This window comes from Homo sapiens, chromosome 3, assembly GCF_000001405.40.
Source record: "Homo sapiens chromosome 3, GRCh38.p14 Primary Assembly".
NCBI lineage: Eukaryota > Metazoa > Chordata > Mammalia > Primates > Hominidae > Homo > Homo sapiens.
This window is the reverse complement of record NC_000003.12, coordinates 11,132,546-11,154,430: the sequence shown is the minus strand read 5'-3', so window position 1 is coordinate 11,154,430 and position 21,885 is coordinate 11,132,546. Positions and strand designations below refer to the sequence as shown.

Genomic DNA, 21,885 nt, shown 5'->3' with positions numbered 1-21,885 from the left:
GCTCCGAGGGGCCCACCCGCGAGCAGCGGGGAAGGCGGGGACCCGGGCCCCGCGGGCCTGCAGCGCCCCCGCACCCGGTTCCACGCGCCCAGGGCCGCCCCCGCGGAGAGAGGGGGCGCGAGGGGCGCGCCTCTCGCTCGGACACCCTCTCCCAGCTCGCGCCCCAGGTTTGGAGCTGCTCCCGCTGGGTACCCGGGCTCGGGCTCTGCGAGGCGGACTGCTCCTTGGGTTTGGAAGGAGGGGTGGCAGAAGGGTCAGAACCTTGGTGAGACAACTCCACCCCCACCCACGCACCTGCGGGCACACAAAACGACAGACAGAGATAAATCAAGACAAAGAGGCACAGATGGAAATAGAGATGAAACGATGTTTGGCAGAGTCAATCACAGATAGATTGAAAAAGACAAATAGTGATACCTGCGCCCCTCATTCCTGCTAGGGGCGCCAAAATCGAAAAAGGCAAAGTCAGACAGAGGTGGAACAAGATTGACAGTAGGAACCCTACCCCTAGAGGTTTCGGGGAACTAAAGAGACCCCAGGGTCTACAACCTCACACCTCTCTTCTGTTTCTCCCTAGCCCGTCCTGATGAATGAGCCCACATTTCAAAATAGGATGTGTTTTAATTAGCAACCTGTGCCACCCCGAGCAGCAAGGGGAGGAGTGGGGTGGGGGTGAGGCCCCTCTGCAGGTCCCCGGGAACCTCTGTCCCTGGCAATGGGAGCTTGAGGATTCTTCCTGGCTGCCTTCATTTCCAGAGCTGGGAGAGAGAGGTCGAGGTTTTTCTGCCTTCTCAGCGCCGGGAAAACTCCATTTGAACCTTTGAACAGTTATGGTTTCAGATTTTACCCCAGCAGTTTCGAAGGGACCACCTAAGCTCACAGGGAGAGGAGGGTGTTTGAGGAGGTGGGACATGGTGGGTTGGGGTGTGGGGGTGGGGGTCAGAGGGGTATTTTAGCCTCCTCCCAGTAGCAGCAGTCCCACCAGCCCTGGTTGTGGACCACACAGAGCTGGGTCTGAGGCTCAGCTTCACAAGCTGTGTATGGTAGGTCCATGGTCCTTTTTCTTGGCCTCAGGGCCCATGTCGGTAACACAAGGGTTCATAAAGACAGGGGCCATTGTGTCAGATGCTTTTCTAAGTGCTACAGATGCTTACTCATTTAATCCTCACAACAATAATAGGTCCTAGTAGGTAGGAACTATTATTATCCCTATTTTACAGGTGAGAAAATGAAGGCACAGAGAGATTGAGTAACTTGCACAAGGTCACATGTAGGAGAACTGAGCATCCACCCTACTCAGCCTGGCCCCAAGGTCCAAGGTGCTGTTATAACTTCATCTCCGTGGGGCTGTTGGAAAGTTTCATGATGCCATTTCTATAAAGGGCTTAGTGCTCCATAAATGGTAGCTCAGAGATCACTGATCCCATCTGCAAGGTGGGGATTAAAGGACTTTGTGATGCCCAGTGATATGAGACTTTGGCCTTGAGATAATGGCAGGCCATGTCACTGTCCTGGGCATTATGGATTCGAGAAGTCAGGGATGTCCCATTTGTTTTTCTGGCCAGCCCTCTGCACATTAGCACAACCCCACAGCCAAGACTCACCCTGGATCCACGAAAGCCCTCTCCCACTCCCTGGTGATTCTCCAGGGCCTCCATATTTTACACTTTACCAGACTAATGCACCCTTTGGAACCGAGTTAGCACTCAGGATAGCAACTGTTATAAATTCTAAAGGAAATACATTTCCTCTCTCTATAGCTGTGGGGCTTAAGGGAGGTAAGGGGGGGATGGAGGTGGGAGGGGGGATGGGGGCAGGGCGGGTGGGGGAAGCCTGGGAAATGGCTGCGTCCACACTTTCATCCCTCCTCTCTCCATTCTGCATTTCAGCAAAGGCTTGGTTATTTGGAATTCCTCCCCAAAGTTTCACTTCCTGGGCTAGTTTTAGGCCTGCTAAACCCATGGTGATCAGCACTTTTAGAAAAATCAGCATCTTAGAAACAACATGTTAGACATGATTTCAAGCCCCTGGTAAGCAGGGTGTGGGTTGTTTTGCTGTGGCATTTGGAACTGACAGATCAGGAGGTACCCCAGGCTGTATGAGGGGTTGGGGAGCAGAAGGGCACAATCAACTTACTAACAACATACAGGCTGCAGCAGAAAAGTAACAGCCCCATGCTTACTGCATACTGTGTGTCAGGCTTGATTTAAGAGCTTTACATAAATAATGCACCGATTCCTCACAATCCCATGAGGTAGGTACTGTTGTCATCCCGTTTTGCAAATGAGAAAACAAAGAGATGAAGGAGTTTGTTCAGAGTATACAGCTAGTAAGTCTTCCCAAGATCAGACAGGTGGGAAGCAGCTGAGCCAGATCTGGAGCCTGGAGCAGTCTGGACCCACAGCCCCACTCCTACTTCTGTGCTTTGTGGAAGAAGCAGAAAAAAGGGACAACCTCAATGCCTGAGTAGAGACTGAAGGCAATGAGAAGAAATAAGTAGATTAAAAATACCTGCTCTGCCACTTACTAGCTCTGTGTTTACTTTGCTTCTCTGAGCCTCAGTTTCCTCATCTGTATGTAAAATAAGAATAGTAATGCCTATGTCACACCCAGAATTTTAGTGATGGGCCGGGCATGGTGGCTCGCCCCTGTAATCCCCAGGTAGGATTGGGGAGGCCAAGGTGGGAGGATCACTTGAGCTCAGGAGTTTGAGACTAGCCTGGGAAACACGGGGAGGAGACCTTGTCTCTACAAAAAATAAATAAATTAGCTGGGCATGGCAGTGTGCGCCTGTAGTCCCAGCTACTCAGGAGGCTCAGGAGGGAGGATTGCTTGAACCCAGGGGATCAAGGCTGCAGTGAGCTATGATTGAACACTTCATTTCAGCCTGGACCACAGACCAAGACCCTGTACCCACCACCACCGCCCCCCCAAAAAAGGAATTTTCATGATGTTTCTTTTGATTGCAGGTAACTTAAACCCAATTATAAATGGCTTTGGCTATAAAGTGTTCTTGAATGAAAACGTTTAGGAAGTAGGCCTGGATTCAGATGCTTCAGAGGCTCAAAGGTAATTGTCATAAATCTGTCTCCCTCTGTCTTGACTCTGTTTTCTTTTCTGTCAGCTTTATTTTATACATATGTGCCACTTTTATTAGCAGGCTGGCTCTTTCCATAGGGAGGTGGAAATGGCTAAACAACCTCAAGGCAAAGAGATCACGTCTTTCCAAATATTTCCAGCAAAAATCCCAGGGTTGACTCCAATTGGCTTGGCCTGGATCACATACCCAGTCCTGAAACCGTTACAGTTGTTTTGGTTGGCTAAGCCTGAGTCACATGCCTGTATCTGAAGTCAAGGAGTAGAGTCAGCCCGCTGTAGGCCACTGGAACTAGGAGTGGGTGAGAGATGGTTCCTTAAAAGACAATCGAGGTGCTATTAGCAGGATAACAGGGGTCCTGGAGAGGCAAGAACACAGATGTCCTCTCCCTCACAGTGCTGTTGTCAGGATTAGATAAGCTCATGCAGGCAAAGTGCTCAGCACAGTGCTTGGCTCTGGTAGATGCTCGGTAACCAAATCCCCTTCCTTCTTCCCTCCTCTAGGAAACAGGAATCGTGGCTAACCAAATCCAGCCCAACTGCTTCCTTGTTCACATGGGGAAATCGAGGAAGGCCCGGGGAGAGGAAGGCCTGGGGAGAGGAAGTTACTTGCCCAAGTTGCCCAGTTAATTAGCCACAGAACCCATGTCCCCCAACTCTGAAACAAGTTCCAGTTAAAGTCTTCACTGATAACTTTAAATCCTCCACTAACCAAGGGAGTCATCTTTGCATTTGCACAGAGGAGATGGGAAAATCACAAAGCCCTTAAGGTCCAGAAGAAATGAGTGTCACTACGTTGGGCTCCCAGGCTGTGCAACAAGCTGTGGACGGAGATGTCCGGGCAGGGAGCCCGGTCCAGCTCCCCACCCATCGCATCATGGAGTCAGCCGTCTCCTCTGGGGACTGCACCCTCTGGGTGCTGAGAAATCCAAATGGCTCTTTCTCATGCAGCCGCCCCAAGTGGGCAGGATGGCCCTTCTCTTGATTTGTTTCCTGCTTACTTTGTGAGAGTCAAAGTGCATCCTTCAGGACCAAAGTGGCCAAGGGGCCAGCATGTTATTTAGAGTGATCAAAATGGACCATTTTCAACTTGGCCCTATTTCAGCTCCAGAGCTGTGGTTTCCACTTGCTTTTACTTATCTGTATTTTCTAACATTTCTTTAGCAAATTTGTATTACTTTGGCAATTAGAAAAAATGACCAGTAATTTTTATAAAAGGATTTGTGTTTGATTTCCTTTCAGAAAGGCACTTTCATTTATTAAAAGATCACAATGAGAAGTGAAATTAAGTTGATCTTTCTCTCTGGCAAGGATGTGTGGGGAGGAATGGGGAGGTGAATGCTGGGAGCAGAAGCCACAGCTGCAGAGCACTGCAGTGAGTGAAGGCTAGATCAGGAGACTGGACCAGGAGGCTGGACCAATTGGCTCTGTGGTCCTAGGCAAGTCACTCAGTGTCTCTGGGTTTCTATTGCTAGATGTTTGGTTTCATTATTTCTGGAGTTCTTTCCAGGAATTCTCTGTATGGATACAGTCTTTGAGCTTTAGTGAACGTTCATATACGCTGTAGGAGAACATGTAATGGCTCAGAAATGTGTTCAGCATAAATTCTGTTTGTCTTTGCGGTCCTGTGAGACTGCTGAAAGTTCTGCTCAGCTTCTCTGCTTCTTAGCATTTGGTTTCTTCTCAGCTTCTCAGTCTCTCCGTTTAGCTCTTTATGAATTGGCAAATTCATGGAAAAGAGCACATAGAATGTCAGGCCCCTGCTCCATTCATTTCTCTTCACCCTGAGATCTTGATCCCTCAAGTTCTGGCTTCCTGGATAGCTCTTTCGTGCCTTCTAACAGATTTTTATTTTCTTTGAACAATTCTACCCAGGTTTTCTAATTGTTTATGGAGAAGATTGATCTTCACAAGCTAGTTTTTTCATAGGCAAAAGCAAAAGTCTCTTCCTGTGTTATTAAGTGAAAATGGCTGATTATAAAAAGGTATGTACAGTGGGCTTCTATTTATATGCAAAGCATGTATATATGTTTATGCAGAAGAAATAGAGAAAGAGCAAAAGCTATACACAGTGGCTATCTCTGGCTGGTTTTTAAAAATATATATCTATAGATTGCACCTTTTATATAATAGATACTAAGAATACCCAAACGGGGTTGACCTTTGTGGCCATTTATACCTGTGTTACAAATGGGGAAACTGAGGTCAAGAACATTTAAATTTATTTCAGTTGAACAATTTGCGGAGGCCTGCTGTGGGCAGAGAACCGTGCTATTGACCACAGAGCATGCAAAGCAACATAACACCTAGTCACTCTATCTCAAGTGTCTACAACTTGTGCTAGCCTTTGGGATATGAGGATGAAGAGGACAAGCATCTGCCCTCAAGATATTCCAGTTGAGGAGAAAGAGATTCAAATAAGCTACCTCAGCTATGATATGAGATCAGTGCTAAAATAATGATGTGACAAGACTGTGATCCCATTCCAGCTGGTGTAGCAAAAAAAAAAAAAAAAAAAAAAAAAGACTGTGGTTTGTCTCTTAATAACTATTCTCTCAATATCCAACTAAAATATTATATTTCCCAGCCTCCCTTGTAGCAAGGTGCAGCCACGTGACCAAATTCTGGCCAAGGAGATCTGAGGGGAAGTGTTGTGATGATTTCTGGGAAATCTCTGTAAACGGAACAAGGAAACTCTTCTTTCTTTTTTTCTGCTGCTTGGAACGTAGATGTAATGCCTGGAGCTTCGGTAGCCATTTTGAGTCACATTCGTGTCACCTTGGAAAGGAACCATGTACTGGGATGATGGAGCAGCAATATGAAATAACCTCAGTCGCTGACACCATGGAGCTGCTATATTAGCCCTGGGTTGTCTATTTCCATACTTTTTTTTTACATGATAAAGACACTTCTATCTTGCATATGTTACTGGTGTTTTGGATATTCTCTTACATGCAGATAAACCTGATCCTAACTTATATGAATCCTAAAAATAAAATGCTATGGGAACAGTGGTGAAGGTAGGGAGGAGTGAATATCTCCCACTCTTGGGCATTGAGGAAGTCAGAGGTGATGTGAAGGTTGTGAAGAGTTAATCAGTGAGATGGGCAGGATTGAGAAGGAAGAGTTTCTTTTCTTTTTTTTTTTTTTTTTTGTTTGACAGAGTCTCACTCTGTTGCTAGGCCGGAGTGCAGTGGCACAATCTCAGCTCACTGCAACCTCCGCCTCCTGGGTTCAAGCGTTTCTCCTGCCTCAGCCTCTTGAGTAGCTGGGACTACAGGTGTGCACCACCATGCCCAGCTAATTTTTGTATTTTTAGTAGAGACAGAGTTTCACCATGTTGGCCAGGATGGTCTTGATCACTTGACTTTGTGATCCACCCACCTTGGCCTCTCAAAGTGCTGGGATTACAGGCGTGAGCCACCACACCCAGCCAGAAGAGAGTTTCAAACAGAGTGGACCAGGCAGGGAGCGTGGAAACAGGGCTGGAATGAGGAACATGGGCATTAGAATCAAACAGCCTGGGCCTAAAGTCCATCATGATATTTAGAAAGTCACTTCACCACTCTACACATCAATTTCTCCATCTGTAAAATGGGGATAATAATAGTATCAGCTTCATCTGGGTGTAGTGAGGATCTTACGAGTTAATACATGTAAAGTGCCTAGAACAATGATATTGAGGGAACGGTTATTAAGAGGCAAACCAGTCTTTTTTTTTTCTACACCTACTGGAATGGGATCACAGTCTTGTCACATCGTTGTTTTAGTATTGACCTCATATCATAGCTGAGGTAGCTTATTTGGATATCTTTCTCCTCAACTGGAATATCTTGAGGGCAGATCCTTGCCCTCTTCATGGCATATTGTGGGTGCTTAGTAAATGAGTAAATACTGACTGTCATGTGCTTATCTATAAAGTGGGATGTTCATAGTCCTATCTCATAGAGCAGCCAATGTGTATTAAAAGGTACAGGACTCTAGATGTAGTGGGTGCTCAACCATGTGGTTCTTTCTCTCCCTTTCTTTAAGGGGCTTACAAACAATATTTAACAAATCTTCATCAAGTCCCTACTCTGTGGCAGGCCCTGGGTCAGGAGGTTGCCGATTCCAGGAAGAATCAGACCTTATCCCTGCCCTTGAGTCTCAAGAAGAGGAAAGGAAAACAAATAAGCATAGTACAGTGTGAAAAGTGGGACTGTGGTCAAATTTCAGTCTGCAAACTCAGGTGAGTGAGAACGGTAACTTTCCTGGTAAGTGAACTCAGTCTCTGCTAAGATCTTCCATCACACGCGAGGAAATCTTAACCTTTGGCAAGTCAAGTTTTTCCTACTTCTTTGGGGTTTATCATTACTTATCCACACTGACATTTGTTGACACATCTTCATTCCTATCTGAGGAGGGGCCACCCATCCACACAGGTCACTGCTGAGTTGTCCCTTGTTCTTAAGTCTCATTTCCTCTCTTAGCTTCTTCCAGAGCCCCTTTCAAGTGCACAGAAACTTTTGCTTAGCTGCCATGGCTGCCAGGACACAGAGAATTCTGGTAGACATATGAGGTTCTTCTGCCCACCCCCAAACACCCATTCGTTTCTCCTCTAGAGTGTCCGCCTAGGAAGTGCTGAGGTGCTTTCTACATTTAATTTTTTCAGACTCCTTTGGGAATTCTGGTGTCTGTCTCCAAGCTCAGGACCATGCCTAGAGAAGGAGCAGGTTCAAGTGCCTCCTACCTCAGGGACCTGTACCCTACCCCCATCCCTTGTGGATGCTCCAGCTCTCTCCCTCATTCTTGTCTGGAAACACTTCTTTAGTTTCAGTGGGGCACAGCCTTGCTCCTAAATCCCTTGCATTTCCCCATAGGGACCATCTCATCAATGCACAAGATCCTTTTCTTGTTGCCCCTGAGATGCTAGACTTTTGAAACTCAAAAGCCTGGAAAAGACTCTGGTTTTTCTTTTTCTACAAAGCCAGAAAAGGACAGTAGCCTCAAGACAATAGCCTAAAACAGGGGGAGGTAAGTCTCCTGGGTAACAGAAATCATCAAGAATGAAAATTAACCCCAATGACCTCCTTCCATGTCTCCTCCAGAATGGATGAAATATGAAAGACTGACAACATCAAGTTGTCAAGTAGGACAGGATGTGGAACCACTGGAACTCATACGTGACTGATGGGAATGCAAAATGATACCGATCCCTTGGAAAACTCCTTGGCAACTTTAATAAACATAAATCTACCCTATGATCCAGAAATTCCACTCTGAGTCACGTCTCCAAGAGCAATGAAAATATATACCCACAAAAGACTGCACATAAATCAGAACAGCATTGTTGATAATAGCCCAAACTGGAAACAACCTAAATATTCACCAATAGAAGCCTGAATAAATTCATACTGTGGGATACTCTACAGCAATGAGGTAGATGAACTATTACTGCCTACAACAACATGAAAGAAAGTAAAAGTCACTACTTTGATAATTATAAACACAAAAAAGTAAACATATCATTCTATTCATATGAAGAGTTATCTAAATAATTAGTAAAATTGATCTATGATTTTAGAAGTGGTACCTCTGGAGGAGAAGGAGGGGTACTGTTACTGACTGAGAAGGGAGTTCTGGAAAAATTCTATACTTTGATCTTTGGGATGGTTACACAGATGTATAGACAGGCAAAAATTCATTGAACTTTACATTTATTATTTGTACATTTTACCATATGCAAATTGTCCCTCAATTTAAAAAATCTCATTTTCCTTAAAAAAACACAGAGGCAAACATTTCAAAAACAATATCTCACCTTAGATGAGATATAGAGGCAAGCAGGCAGCCCCACTATGAGAGCCTGGAAAAGGCATTAGACACACTGTGTGTGGGGTGCAGTAGGGACAGAGAGACACTCAAGGAGGGTTTCTTGTGGGAGGTGACAGCTAAACATTGAAGGACCTGTACTGAAAGTCAAACAAAGAGAAGGCTAAGGGCATTCCAGGCTCAAGGAAACAGCATGCAAGGGCACTCACAGCATCCCAAGAGAAGTTGACTGAGAGAAGGAGGGTGTGGGGAAGGGACAAAACGACGAAGCCACAGATGTCAATGGGAGTCAGATCTGACAGCTCACAAGCCAAAGGGAGGCCCAAGGGAGGCCCCGCAGAGTTGTGATTGGAGTTGGACTTTAAGGAGGCCACTCTGGAGGAAGGGAGGAAGGTGGTTTAGAGGTGGTTGCAGTAATCCACAGATGGGGTATGGGGCCTGAACTAGCGCAGCGGCCATGGGGATTGGGGCTGGGAGAAGAGCTTCCAGAGATACTTAGGAGGAAGACTTTGGTAACCAGCAGTATAGCGGGACAGGAGAGGAAATCGTTAAGGAAACTCATGGGTTCTTGCCTTTCATGGCAAGGTGGAGCTATTTACTGAGAAAAAGATAGGAAGAGCTACATTTATTTATTTATTTATTATATATTTTTTGAGATGGAGTCTCACTCTGTCACCCAGGCTGGAGTGCAGTGGCGTGATCTCGGCTCACTGCAACCTCTGCCTCCTGGGTTCAAGCAATTCAGGAAGAGCTACATTTATAAGTGTTGTCGTGGTTGGCCAGATGTTGTTTTTCTCTCTTTGGCTCCTGCTTCTGCTTTTGCTTTAGTCAGAACTGTGTTTGTCCCAGGAAGACCTGCTCCTCCCTGTTCTCAGGCTATGTAGCTAAAGTGGTGATGACCCCATCTCTGGGCTGTAGGACATATGATAATGGCTTCTGGTTCCAGCTTGAAGTTGCTGCAAAAGACACGATTTTATTCTTTGCCATGGCTGAGTAGTATTCCATGATGTGTATGTATGTGTGTGGCGTGTGTGTGTGTGTATATATATGTCTATATGTATATATACCTATAGACGTATGTCTATATGTCTATATGTATATATACCTATAGATGTATGTCTATATGTATATATACACATATAGACATATATATACACACACACACACACACACACACATATACATATCACATTTTTAGACCAATTTTCCATTGATGGACACTTAGTTTGATTCTATGATTTTGTTGTTGTGAATAGTGCTGCAATAAACATACGCGTGCAGGTGTCTTTTTGATACAACAATTTATTTTCCTCTGAGTAGATACTCAGTAGTGAGATTGCTGGATCAAAGGGTAGTTCTATTTTTAGTTCTTTGAGAAATCTCCATACTGGTTTCCATAGAGGTTGTACTGATTTACATTCCCACCAACACTGTGTAAGTGGTCCCCTTTTTCTGCATCCCTACCATCATCTGTTGGTTTTTGACTTTTTAGCAATAGCCGTTCTGACTGGTGTAAGATGACATCTCATTATAGTTTCAATTTGCATTTCTCTGATGATTAGTGATGTTAAGCATTTTTTTATATTTTTTTGGCCACTTGTATATCTTTTGAAAAATGTCTTTTCATGGAGGACATGCATTTTGGGATGGAGCTTGAAGATACCTAAAAAAGATCCGGCTTGAAGGGGGAGGATGTGTTTCAGGAGGAGAGAACAGCACGAGCAAACCCTTGGAGGCAGGAAAGAAAAGGAAACACTCAGGGGATGGTGGGTAGTCAGGTTGGCCTGACCACACTGGAGAATGTGGGGGAGATGAGTCTACCAGGCAGACTCATCTGCAGGGGTCAGACCAGGGGTCACCATTCATCTACTACTCTACAAGGGAGACTGGAGGGGTTAGACCAGGCAGGCCTGGAATGCCAGGGTGAGTTTGGATTAACCCAACCAATGAACCTGCGGACTAGAATAGGCATCTGGAAGTTCCAGGGATGTTTGGGAAAACTTCGTGGGGAATTTAAGGAATCGCTTCCAGGGTCAGAGCTCCATGTTGTTTTTCCCATCAGCTTGCTCAGGAGTTGGATAGATGGTGAGCTCAGGGACTGGTGAACTGTCCCAGTAATACAGCGTGGTAATGTCCCTCCCTTCTCCTGCCCCAAGTCATACAAGCCTTCTCAGGCTGGGACATCTGGAGGTCTTGACCAAAAAGAACCAAGACCCTTGCCTTCTGCAGCCCACTCTCCACACAGCAGGTTGAGGGCCCTGTGGACACACATCAGATCACTCTTACTAAAAACCCTCCAGAGGCTTCTCACCCCACTTAGAAGCAACTTAGAAGCACCCCACTTAGAAACACCCCACTTAGAAGCAACTCCACACACCTCCCTTTGGCCTACAAGGCTTCACATCATCTGACCCCTGCGTCCCCTCTGTCCTCACCTCCTTTCACTGTTCCCTGGGCCCACTGTCCTCCAGCTCTTTGCAGCCCTGCAAACACAGCAAGCTTTTGTCCTGTCTTGGGGCCTTTGCACTCGCTGTTCTCTATGCCTGGGACACTCATCCCTTAGATCTTGCCACGGACACCTCATCATCATTCAATCTTTTTTTTTTTTCCAAAACAGAGTCTTGCTCTGTTGCCCAGGCTGGAGTGCAGTGGCGTGATCTTGGCACACTGCAACCTCCACCTACCTGGTACAAGCAATTCTCCTGCCTCAGCCTCCCAGGTAGGTGGGATTACAGGCACCTGCCACCATGCTCAGCTAATTTTTTGTATTTTTGGTAGAGACAGGGTTTCACTGTGTTGGCCAAGCTGGTCTTGAACTCCTGACCTCGTGATCTGCCTGTCTTGGCCTCCCAAAATGCTGGAATTACAGGCGTGAGCCACTGTGCCTGGCTTCATCATTCAGTCTTTGCTCACTTGTGGCTCGTTGGAGAAGACTTTCCTGGGTAAGGGTAGTGCTCCTGCTTATCACTTGGCCTTCTTAGTCCTCATTGCTATCTCTGATTGTCTTTTTTCTTTGTTTACTTATTTATTGTGTCTAAGCCTCCATTTGAATGTGAGTGACTCAAACACAGGGTTTCTGTCTTTTTCCTCACTGTACCCCCAGCACTTAGAGCAGTAACTGGCCCAGAGTAGGTCCTCAATGAATGGTAATTGAATGAACTATCTGCATAGGCAAGGTCCTTAGGCAATTCTGCAAATAAGGCAGCTGGGCCCAGAGAAGAGAAGGGACTTGTCAAAGGTGTCCTACAAATCAATGTCAGAGACAGACCTAGGCTCCAGGACTCCTGCCTCTAAGGTCAGTTCATTTTCTGTAATTCTCTTCCACCCGTTTCTGCCAAAGGGGCTGCCAGTCTTTGGTGATTTTCCCTCTGTTGCATATGCCAGGGTAGAAAGAGCAGTGAACTAGAAGCCAGGGAACTTGGGACCTGGTCTAGCTCTGCTACCCACATACCTTGTAGACCAAGGGGTCCTTGAGGGCAGAGGGCATTACCCATATCTAGTACAGTTGGTGCTCAGACAAGGCTTGTTGAAAGAGTAAGATTTTGTTTGCATGAAGATAGTGGGTGCCAACACAGGGCAGTGTTAAGAGCTGGGAACAGGAGCTAGGCAGACATGAATTCAAATCTTGGCTATGTCACTTTCTAGTTGCCCTACACGTGATCACACATGAAGAATGTACATAGCATCATCTAGGATAGCTTGTGTCCAGGATGGCCCTGACACTTTCTGGTATTCATGTTCTTGGGTAACCCACACTGAATTAGGGCTGATTTCCATGACCAATAGAATACTGCAGAAGTGACAGTATGTGACTTCTCTATCTAGATCATGAAAGATAGTGTGGCTTCCACTTTGGTCTCTTATATCACCTACTGGGGGAAGCCAGCTGCCATGTTGTGAGGACACTCAAGAAGCTCTGTGGAGAGGCTCTTTTGAAGGAGAACCAATGCCTCCCACCAACAGCCAGCATCAACTTGGGACATGTGAGTGAACCAATTGGAAGTGGATCCTCCAGCCAAGTCAAGCCTTCAGATGACTGAAGCCCCAGCCTCATGAGAGATAGCAGGCTAAAACTGCCCAGCTAAGCTGCTCCTGAAATCCTGACCCCCCAAATTATAAAAGACAATAAATTATTATTGTTGTTTTAAGCCACTACATGTTGGGGTGATTCATTATGCAGCAACAGATAATAAATACATCACCCTTGTATTCATTACTGACGTTTATTGGGAGCATAGTGTGTGATTTTTCATTTAACCCTTCCAGTAATGCTGTGAGATAGGTAAGTTTATTATCCCCATTTTACAGACAAAGAAACTGAGGTTCAGAATGAGTGAAGTCTCTTCCCTGCAGAGTCCCTGACCTTAAGGATTTTATGGTCAGATCTGAGAGACAGAAGCTCAAAAACCTATGACTCTAGGCAAAATATGGCCCTGGGATCCCAGGATGGGGAGAGGAATTTTGGATTCTGGCTTCTACTTGGGCCTCATAGCTTGGGATGACAGAGGGTACACTCCAAAGGCAACAAACACCTTCCCTGCCCTTGAGCACCTGCTTAATCAAGGGGAGAAAGTTCAGATGCTTATGCATAATGTGTGGTATTTCTCTGCACAGAAACACACACGGGCCTGTACAGTAATAATGAAAAGCAACAACCCATCTTAAGGGCTTGGCACTTTGCACTTACAAAGCCTTATACATCCCTAATTCCATGGAATCACACCTGGCAGGTAAGCGTGGCCCTGTACACTTTACAGATGGGGACACTGAGGTCAGGGAAGTTGTGTGATTCTTGCAGAGCCAAGCAGCCTAGAAGTGGCAGAGTTCAGGTAAAACCCAGTAACTGGGTGTTTTACAAGTGCTAAGGGTATGACAGGAGGTAGGCAGGGCTCCTCTGAGGGAGGTTTCAGGAAGAGGTCACCCGCGAGCAGGGTTCTGAGAATGGGGAAGTGGCTTCGGGGAGAGGATGGTGCCTGGGAGGGTTTGAGAGGAAACAGAGTGAGTCCCTAGGGGCTCCCAGGGTGTACGAGGGCAAAGAGGTGAACATAGCTGGAGTGGAAAGAATGAGAAAGCCTGGGTGTGTGGAAGAGCCTTGGTGTGTTAGGTGGAATTGCAGCTGGAGGGTGTGTGCAGAATGAGAGGTCTTGGTATTGGGGCCAAAGTCAACTGCCACGCCTAAGGAGGGAGGAAGGCGCTTATTTTGCTTCTTGGGTGAAAATCATTCCTGTGATTTAGTTCTCCTTGGGGGAGGGGCGGGGTTTCATCCAGCCTTAGCAAATGCATTCAATCTTCACTACTTCTCTCTGTCAGATGGGGTGGATAGAGGTCCAAATGTGGGCAGAAGCTTTTATGTCCCATCGCAGGGCAGCTAAGAACAGCTGCGCGGGTCGTTCACTGTACATGGGCACTAGGCCAAAAGGGACTGAAATCCGGACGGCCCTTTGTTTACTAAGCCATGTGCCTGCAAGGCTGCACCTGCCCAGAAGGAATGCTTCCTATTTCTTTTCTTTAAAAAAAAATTTTTTTTATGAGCTAAAATTCACATAACATAGAATCTACCATTTAAACCACTTTAAAGTATAAAGTTCAGTGCTTTTAGTATAGTCACAATGTTGTGCAACCATCACCACTAGCAGTTTTCGGAACATTTCCATCATCCCAAAAAACAACTCCATAACTCCTAATTCCCCCCCTTTCCCCATCTCTTGGCGACCATGAATCTGAACTTTCATATGAATGGAGTTCTATAATTTGCTGTCTTCTGTGACTGTCTTCTTTCATTTGGCATTAAAACTTTTCAAGTTTTACCCATGTTGTGGTATGTGTCTGTACTTCATTCCTTTTTATGGCTCGATAATATCGCATTGTGTGAATATTCCACAATTTGTGTATCCCTTCATGAGTTGATGGACATATGGGTTATATCCACTGGCTGTTAAGAACAGGCGGGTCACGGTGGCTCACGCCTGAAATCCCAGCACTTTGGGAGGCTGAGGTGGGCGGATCACCTGAGGTCAGGAGTTCTAGATCAGCTTTGCCAACACGGTGAAACCTTGTCTCTACCAAATATATAAAAATTAGCTGGGCGTGGTGGCAGGCGCCTGTAATCCCAGCTACTCGGGAAGCTGAGGCAGGAGAATTGCTTGAACCCGGGAGGCGGAGGTCGCAGTGAGCCGAGATTGCACCACTGCACTCCAGCCTGGGTAACAGAGCAAGATTCCACCTCAAAATAAAAAAAAAAAAGGCGGGCGGCTCGTTCCTGTAATCCCAGTATTCTGGGAAGCTGAGGCAGGTGGATCACCTGAAGTCAGGGGTTCGAAACCAGCCTGGCCAACATGGTGAAACCTCATCTCTACTAAAAATACAAAATTAGCCGGGCATGGTGGCGCATGCCTGTAATCCCAGCTACTTGGGAGGCTGAGGCAGGAGAATCACTTGAACCTGGGAGGCAGAGGCTGCAGTGAGCCGAGATCGCACCATTGCACTCTAGCCTGGGCAACAAGAGCAAAATTCTTTCTAAAAAAAAAAAAAAAAGAACAATGCAGCTATGGCCAGGCACAGTGGCTCACATCTGTAATCCCAGCACTTTGGGAGGCTGAGGTGGGAGGATTGTTTGAGCCCAGGAGTTTGACACCAGCTTGGGCAACATGGCAAAACCCTGTCTCTATAAAAAATGAAAAATTTGGGCGGACATGGTGGTGTACACTTGTAGTCCCAGCTACTTGGGAGGCCGAGGTGGGAGGATTGCTTGAGCCTGGGAGATGGAGGCTGCAGTGAGCTGTGATCATGCCACTGCACTCAAAAAAAAAAAAAAAAAAATTCAGCTATGAACATTCTTGTACAAGTTTTTGTGTGAACAGATGTTTTCCATTTTTCTGGGTATATACCAGGGGATGGTCTTGTTGGATCATATGGTAATCCCACGATTAACTTTTTGAGGAACTTGCCAAACTGTTTTCCAAAGTAACTGCACCGTGGTACATTCCATCTAGAAATGTTTGAGGGCTCCAATGTCTTCACATCCTTGCCAACATTTGTTATTGTCCATTTTCTTATAGCCCTCCTAGTGAGTGTGAAGTGGTACCTCATTGTGGCTGGCCATCTGTATATCTTTGGAGAAATGTCTGTTCAAGTCCTTTACCCATTTTTTGGCTGGGTTGTTTTTTGTGTGTGTGTGTTGAGTTGTAAGAGTTCCTTGTTTAGGCTGGGCGCGGTGGCTCACGCCTGTAATCCTAGCACTTTGGGAGGCCGAGGCGGGCAGATCACAAGGTCAGGAGATCGAGACCATCCTGGCTAACACGGTGAAACCCCGTCTCTACTAAAAATACAAAAAAAAAAAAAAATAGCCAAACGTGGTGCGGGCGCCTGTAGTCCCAGCTACTTGGGAGACTGAGGCAGGAGAATGGTGTGAACCTGGGAGACGGAGCTTGCAGTGAGCAGAGATCACGACACTCCACTCCAGCCTGGACAACAGAGGGAGACTCCGTCTCAAAAAAAAAAGAGTTCCTTGTGTATTCTGGATAGTACACCTGTATCAGGTGTACTATATGAGTTGCAAATATTTTCTCCCATTCTCTGGGTACTGCCTTTTTCTAATTTACACTGGGGCTCCTTTTGGGCTGGTAGGGACCTTAGTTCCTCAGCCAGAGCACCAGATACTCTCCCGCCATAACAAAAGAAAGTGTATCAGTGGCCTCACTCAAGAGGACAACTTAGTACCTCAGTACCTTTACAGATGGCCTGCTATGTGCCAGGCGTGGAGGATGTGAATCTGAAGATAACAGGGTCCGTTCCGGTCGCTGTTCCCCATCCTCAAGAAGGACTCAATCAATAACTCAGACGCTCAAGCCAGAACACTGGGGGCTGACTGGACTCCTCCCCCATCACTCCACCATCCAATCAGCCATCACAGCCCATGATGACTCCTCCCACCTTGTGCCACCATCCAATCAGTCACCACAGCCCACAGTAACTCCTCCCTATCACTCCAGCATCCAATCAGCCACCTCAGTCCCTGGTGACTCGTCCCCCATCATTCCAGCATCTAATCAGCCCCCAGAGCCCGTCACCCCTCCATTCTCTTCCCCACGCCCCAGCGGAGTCTAGGCGGTAATTGCCTCTCACCTGGCTGGTTTCAGTAGCTTCCTGTCTCCAGACCTCAGGGCTTGCTTCTTGTAGTTCATTTCTCCATCAGTGCACGAGCAGAGTGATTTTTCTTAAATGAAAAATCCCATTGAGGGCTGCCTGGCGGACAACTTCTCTACGGCTACTATCAAAAGAAAATGCACACGGAAGCCGACAGCTCCGTGTCATCTGGCACCCACTGCTGTCTCCACTCCCCTCCTTGAAGTGACTCAGTCTGACTAAACTGTTGGTCAGTTTCCCAGCACATACCACCTCCAAGTGCTGCCGGCATGGTGTGCTTTGAAATGAGGGACGGTAAAGAAATGCGTCAGGGATTCCCGAAATAAGTCACGGGTTAGGCAGTAACTTGTCAGGCAGGAGCTGGGAGTTTGCTAGGGGCACGGTAAGGGTTCCGGTTATGGGAAAGAGCCTCGCTTCTGCCTGTGCAGGCGCTTGGACACACAGGCCTGCCTTGGTGCTCATGAGTCACCCGAGAAGATGTGCCTAGAAATGACTCTCCTGGGTGTGTGAGAGCCTGAGTCTACCCCAGGGGTTTGGAAGGCGGATTCAGCTGCCTTCCTTAGGTCGTCTTAGGATCTTCAAACCCCAGCGCCGAAAAAGACTAATGACCATGTGGCCCACCCCTTCATCCCTTTGCCTCTATAAACCTCCATTCTTCCCATCTCAAAAATGGGAACAATGACATTTTTTTAGATGGCCGTGAGGCTCAAAGAAGATTATCTAGACTCCTGTGTGAGTTTTAAGTTGGATGGGGAAACTGAGGCCCAAAGAAACGAATCGGTTGCTTCCAGCCTTGACGTGTGTTGGAATCATCGGGGGAGTTTGTTAGAAATAAGGATCCCTGGATCCTACTGCTGGGTTGGGGTAGAGACCCAGTCATCTGTATTTTTTAACCTCCCAAGGTGTTGCTGCAGGGAACCAGGTCTAGCTCTCCTCCCAGAATCCTAAGGCAGCCTCTGGCCAGAGGGTCACTGAGGTGCAGGCTGTGTGTGGTCAGCACGCCTTGCTTTTCCTGTCTGGAAGCCAAAAGCTGGCTTTCCCACTGCCAAACTGCTGGCAATACAGAGGCCATTCTGGCGACTGTTTTCTAAATGTGGCTATCAAGGATGTTCTGGGAGAGAAAAGCCCTGGCACACAGCCTTGGTCTCTGAGGGGCTTGCAGGCACCTGGGGTAGGGGAGGCTCAGTGGTGTATGGGAGTTGTCGGGGAGGGGCAGGATGCTCCATCATAGGGTGAATGGAATTGAAACCAATGTTTAAAATGAGCTGGGTTTAGGGCCGGGCACAGTGGCTCACGTCTATAATCCCAGCACTTTGGGAGGCCAAGGCAGGCAGATCACTTGAGGTCAGGAGTTTGCAACCAGCCTGGCCAACATGGCAAAACCCCGTCTCTACTAAAAATACAAAAAATTAGCCGGGTGTGGTGGTGGGCACCTGTAATCCCAGCTACTCAGGAGGCTGAGGCAGGAGAATCGCTTGAACCCAGGAGGTGGAGGTTGCAGTGAGCCGAGATCATGCCACTGCACTCCAGCCTGGTGACAGAGCAGACGCTGTCTCAAAAAAAAAAAAAAAAAAAAAAAAAAAAAGCTGGTTTTGTTGTGGGTGGGGTGGAGACAGGGGGAGGTGCTTCAGTTGTCACCTCCATGTCTGCTTCAGGCCCCTCCTTACCCTTCCTATGAAAACATTTTCTCTGTACAAGATCTGGAACTCATGCACACTGAGGCACAGTTATCTAATCATACCAATGTAGGGCTGAGCATGGTGGCTCACGAGGCCTGTAATCCCAGCACTTTGGGAGGCCTCGTTCACCTGAGGTCAGAAGTTCTAGACCAGCCTGGCCAACATGGTGAAACCCCGCCTCTACTAAAAATACAAAAAATTAGCTGGCGTGGTGGCAGGTGCCTGTAATCCCAGCCACTCAGGAGGCAAAGGCAGAGGCAGGAGGATTGTTTGAACCCAGGAGGCGGAGGCTGCGGTGAGCAAAGATCGCACCATTGCACTCCAGCCTGGGCAACAAGAGCGAAACTCTATCTCTGTCTCTCTCAAAAACAAAACAAAACAAAACAAAAACCAATGTAAAACATGACCACATTTCCTTCTTTTTTTTCTTCTACTCTCTCCCCCTCTCCTTCTTTCTCCCTCCCTCTGCTTTCTAATTTTGCCCCTGGTCTTGAGCTTTTAATCTGAATTACATGTTCCCAGGTTCTTTATTTCCTCATTTATTATCGATGTTTTCCAACTTGCTTGGCTAAGCCACCACTCTGGTCATAATGTATCCCACTTTCTGCCAACCCTGCCTTACCCCCATGCAGCAGAACATGCCTAGAGAAAAGCCATGTTTTTCACATGGTGTTTCACAACCATTTTGACTGTGTTCACTTGAGTCATGACCTTGAATGTTGAGAGCACTCTCAATGCTGCCTAGCAATTATACTCTGCCTCCCTAGTCATTCTCTCTCCAGCTCTGCTAGGGACCGTTTGACTCCTCTCCTCCCCTAAACCCTTAATGCCTCCTCTCCTGTCCTGTCTGCTTCCTATTCACTGAGATAATGGAAGCAATCAGAATGTCCTGAGACCCCACCACACACCTCCCCGCCCACCAGCATCTCCACCCACACGCTTCACTAGAGATGAATTGATGGTGCACTTATGTATCTGTACTTGTGCCCTAGACCCTGCCCCTTTCATTTGCTCAAGGACATCTCTCCAGCGATTGTCCCTCTTGCCACAGCATCATTTTTTACCTCCTCTGGATCATTCTCATCAAGCGTACACAATGCTACTATTTCTCCCATCTTTGAAATAACAACAACAATACCACCAACAAAAACCCTTGTTAAGTTTTAGGTCAGAACTGACACAGTGTTGCTTCTGCCAGATTCTATTGGTTAAAGCAAATCACAGGGAGAGCCCAGATTCAAGGGGAGGAAACTGCACAAGGACTTGAATACCAAGAGATGAGATTCTTTGTGGGCCACCAAGCCACAAACCACCACTCTCCCTTTTGCAGCAAAACTCTTCCAAAGAGCTGTCCGTCCTCAGTTTCTCCAGTTCCTCCCTCCCATTTTTCTTAAACACATTCCAATCAGGCATTCGCTCCCACTGCTCTACTGGTGCCCTTCATCCAGGTCACCAATGGCCTCCACATGGCAAGATCCATGGTCAAGTCTCAGTCCTTGTCCTACTGGGCTTGGCACAGTTGACTGCCCTTGCTTTGTTTGATTTCAGGCCTCATGCTCTCTTGGTTTTCCTACTACCTCACTGGTCTCACCGTCTGTCTTTTCTCTCCTCTCCCCAACCTCTTAATGTTGGGATGACCCGAGGCTCAGTTCTCCATCCTCTTCTCTTATCCATCTGTGCTCACTCTCTTGGTAATTTCACCCAGTCTCATTGCTTGCAATATCATTTACATGTGGCTCTCACATTTACGTCTCTAGCCTCGTCCTCTCACTTGAATTCTGACTAATAATACAATTGTTTTTATTTTTATTGTTTTTTTGAGACGGAGTCTCATTCTGTCGCCCAGGCTGGAGTGCAATGGCACAATCGTGGCTCACTATGATTCTTCTGCCTCAGCCTCTCGAGTAAGTGGGATTACAGGTGCCCACCACCATGCCCAGCTAATTTCTGTAGTTTTAGTATAGATGGGGTTTCACCATGTTGGCCAGGCTGGTCTCAAACTCCTGACCTCAAGTGATCTGCCCACCTTGGCCTCCCAAAGTGCTGGGATTATAGGCGTGAGCCACTGCGCCTGGCTTCTGACTGTTTTTTGACATCTCCAATGGGTAGCCAATGCCCACCTAAACCCCTTCTGTCCAAAACTAAACTCCCAATTCCTCTCTACCCCTTGACCTGACCCCAGATTTTCTCGTTTCAGTTGATGACAATTCCTTTCTTGCAGTTGCACAGAACAAAAACCCTGGCATTAAACTTGACTGTCTTCTTTCTCTCACACCCCATACCCAAGCCACCATGAAGATTGGATCTACCTTCAGAATATATCCAGACTCTGACCACCTTCTCTCCTGGTCAGAGCCACCATCCCTTCTCAGCTGGACAAATTTTGTGTGCCTCTTTCTAATTCTGCCCTGACCTCCTATGATTTACTGATTTGCAACAGAGTGGCCAGAGGGATCCTTTAAAAATATACCCCAGATCATAGCCCTCCTCTGCTCAACACCCTTCTATGGCTCCCATATCACTTGGCATAGAGTCCTCACCATCACCTACAAGGCCTTATGGGACCTGGCCACCCCCTGACCTCTGGCCCCCTCCTACTCCCCGCTTCACTCTCTGCTCCTCCAGCCACTCTGGCTCCTTTGCTATGGCCCCTCAGACACAGCAGCACGTGTCTACTCCGAGCCTTTCCTCCACCTGGGCAGTTCAAGCCCTGCTCTCTGCAGGCACCTCCCTCACCTCCTTCAATTCTTTGCTCAGCTTCTCAACGAGGCCTTCCCTGACCTCCCCATTTAGACTTGCATCCCACCTCCACCTCCTTGCCTTTCCCACTCTCACTTCCTTGCACTTTTCTCTTGTTTCTTAGCCCTTAACCTTCTAACATATTTCATGATCTACTTATTTATTATGGTTATTGTTCATTGTCTACCTCATGCAGCTAAAATATAAGCTTTGCAAGGGGAATAATCTTTATCTTTTGCTCACTGATGTATTCCAAGGGCCTAGAACAGAGCCAGGTACAGACAGAGTGCTAAAATTTTATTTTTAAATTGTACTATAAGCACCTCAAATCCTTTGTGACACAAACCAGGGCATAGACAAATTCATTCTTTCATCCACCCATCCACTCTTCCAATTGATTGCCATGCCTTCCTTT

The 21,885-nt window shown here is 46.9% G+C and overlaps 1 protein-coding gene and 1 long non-coding RNA gene across 8 annotated transcripts in view, besides 3 other annotated features; one reads left to right on the top strand and one right to left on the bottom strand.

The window, feature by feature from the left end:
- Nucleotides 1–17,193, bottom strand: part of HRH1 (histamine receptor H1) — a 126,320-nt gene extending 109,127 nt beyond the window's left edge. The window contains exon 1 of the mRNA NM_001098213.2: nt 17,032–17,193. The gene's annotated coding sequence lies outside the window, so the exon portion shown is untranslated. The remainder of the gene's footprint in view (nt 1–17,031) is intronic.
- LOC105376951 (uncharacterized) lies at nt 31–13,059 on the top strand. Of its 7 annotated transcripts, XR_940590.3 has the most exons (7): nt 31–167; nt 1,221–1,319; nt 1,890–2,030; nt 2,970–3,069; nt 4,972–5,081; nt 7,129–7,324; nt 8,184–8,504. It is a non-coding gene; the product is annotated as an uncharacterized LOC105376951 (long non-coding RNA). The 7 variants fall into 7 exon arrangements; XR_940589.2 differs by lacking the exons at nt 1,221–1,319; nt 1,890–2,030 and adding an exon at nt 12,733–13,059 and having other exon boundaries at nt 8,184–8,514; XR_940592.3 differs by lacking the exons at nt 1,221–1,319; nt 1,890–2,030 and having other exon boundaries at nt 7,182–7,324; nt 8,184–13,059.
- Nucleotides 13,783–13,832: an enhancer, noted in NCBI's record as "active region_19426". NCBI's record gives its function as "activates an Ori minimal core promoter by ATAC-STARR-seq in GM12878 lymphoblastoid cells {active_cell/tissue: GM12878}" and the evidence as "EXISTENCE:reporter gene assay evidence [ECO:0000049][PMID:35858748]".
- Nucleotides 13,853–13,922: an enhancer, noted in NCBI's record as "active region_19425". NCBI's record gives its function as "activates an Ori minimal core promoter by ATAC-STARR-seq in GM12878 lymphoblastoid cells {active_cell/tissue: GM12878}" and the evidence as "EXISTENCE:reporter gene assay evidence [ECO:0000049][PMID:35858748]".
- Nucleotides 16,629–17,828: an enhancer, noted in NCBI's record as "P300/CBP strongly-dependent group 1 enhancer chr3:11178289-11179488 (GRCh37/hg19 assembly coordinates)". NCBI's record gives its function as "activates an origin of replication core promoter dependent on BRD2, BRD4, P300/CBP, MED14 and CDK7 cofactors, with strong dependence on P300/CBP, by STARR-seq in HCT116 cells {active_cell/tissue: HCT116}" and the evidence as "EXISTENCE:reporter gene assay evidence [ECO:0000049][PMID:35650434]".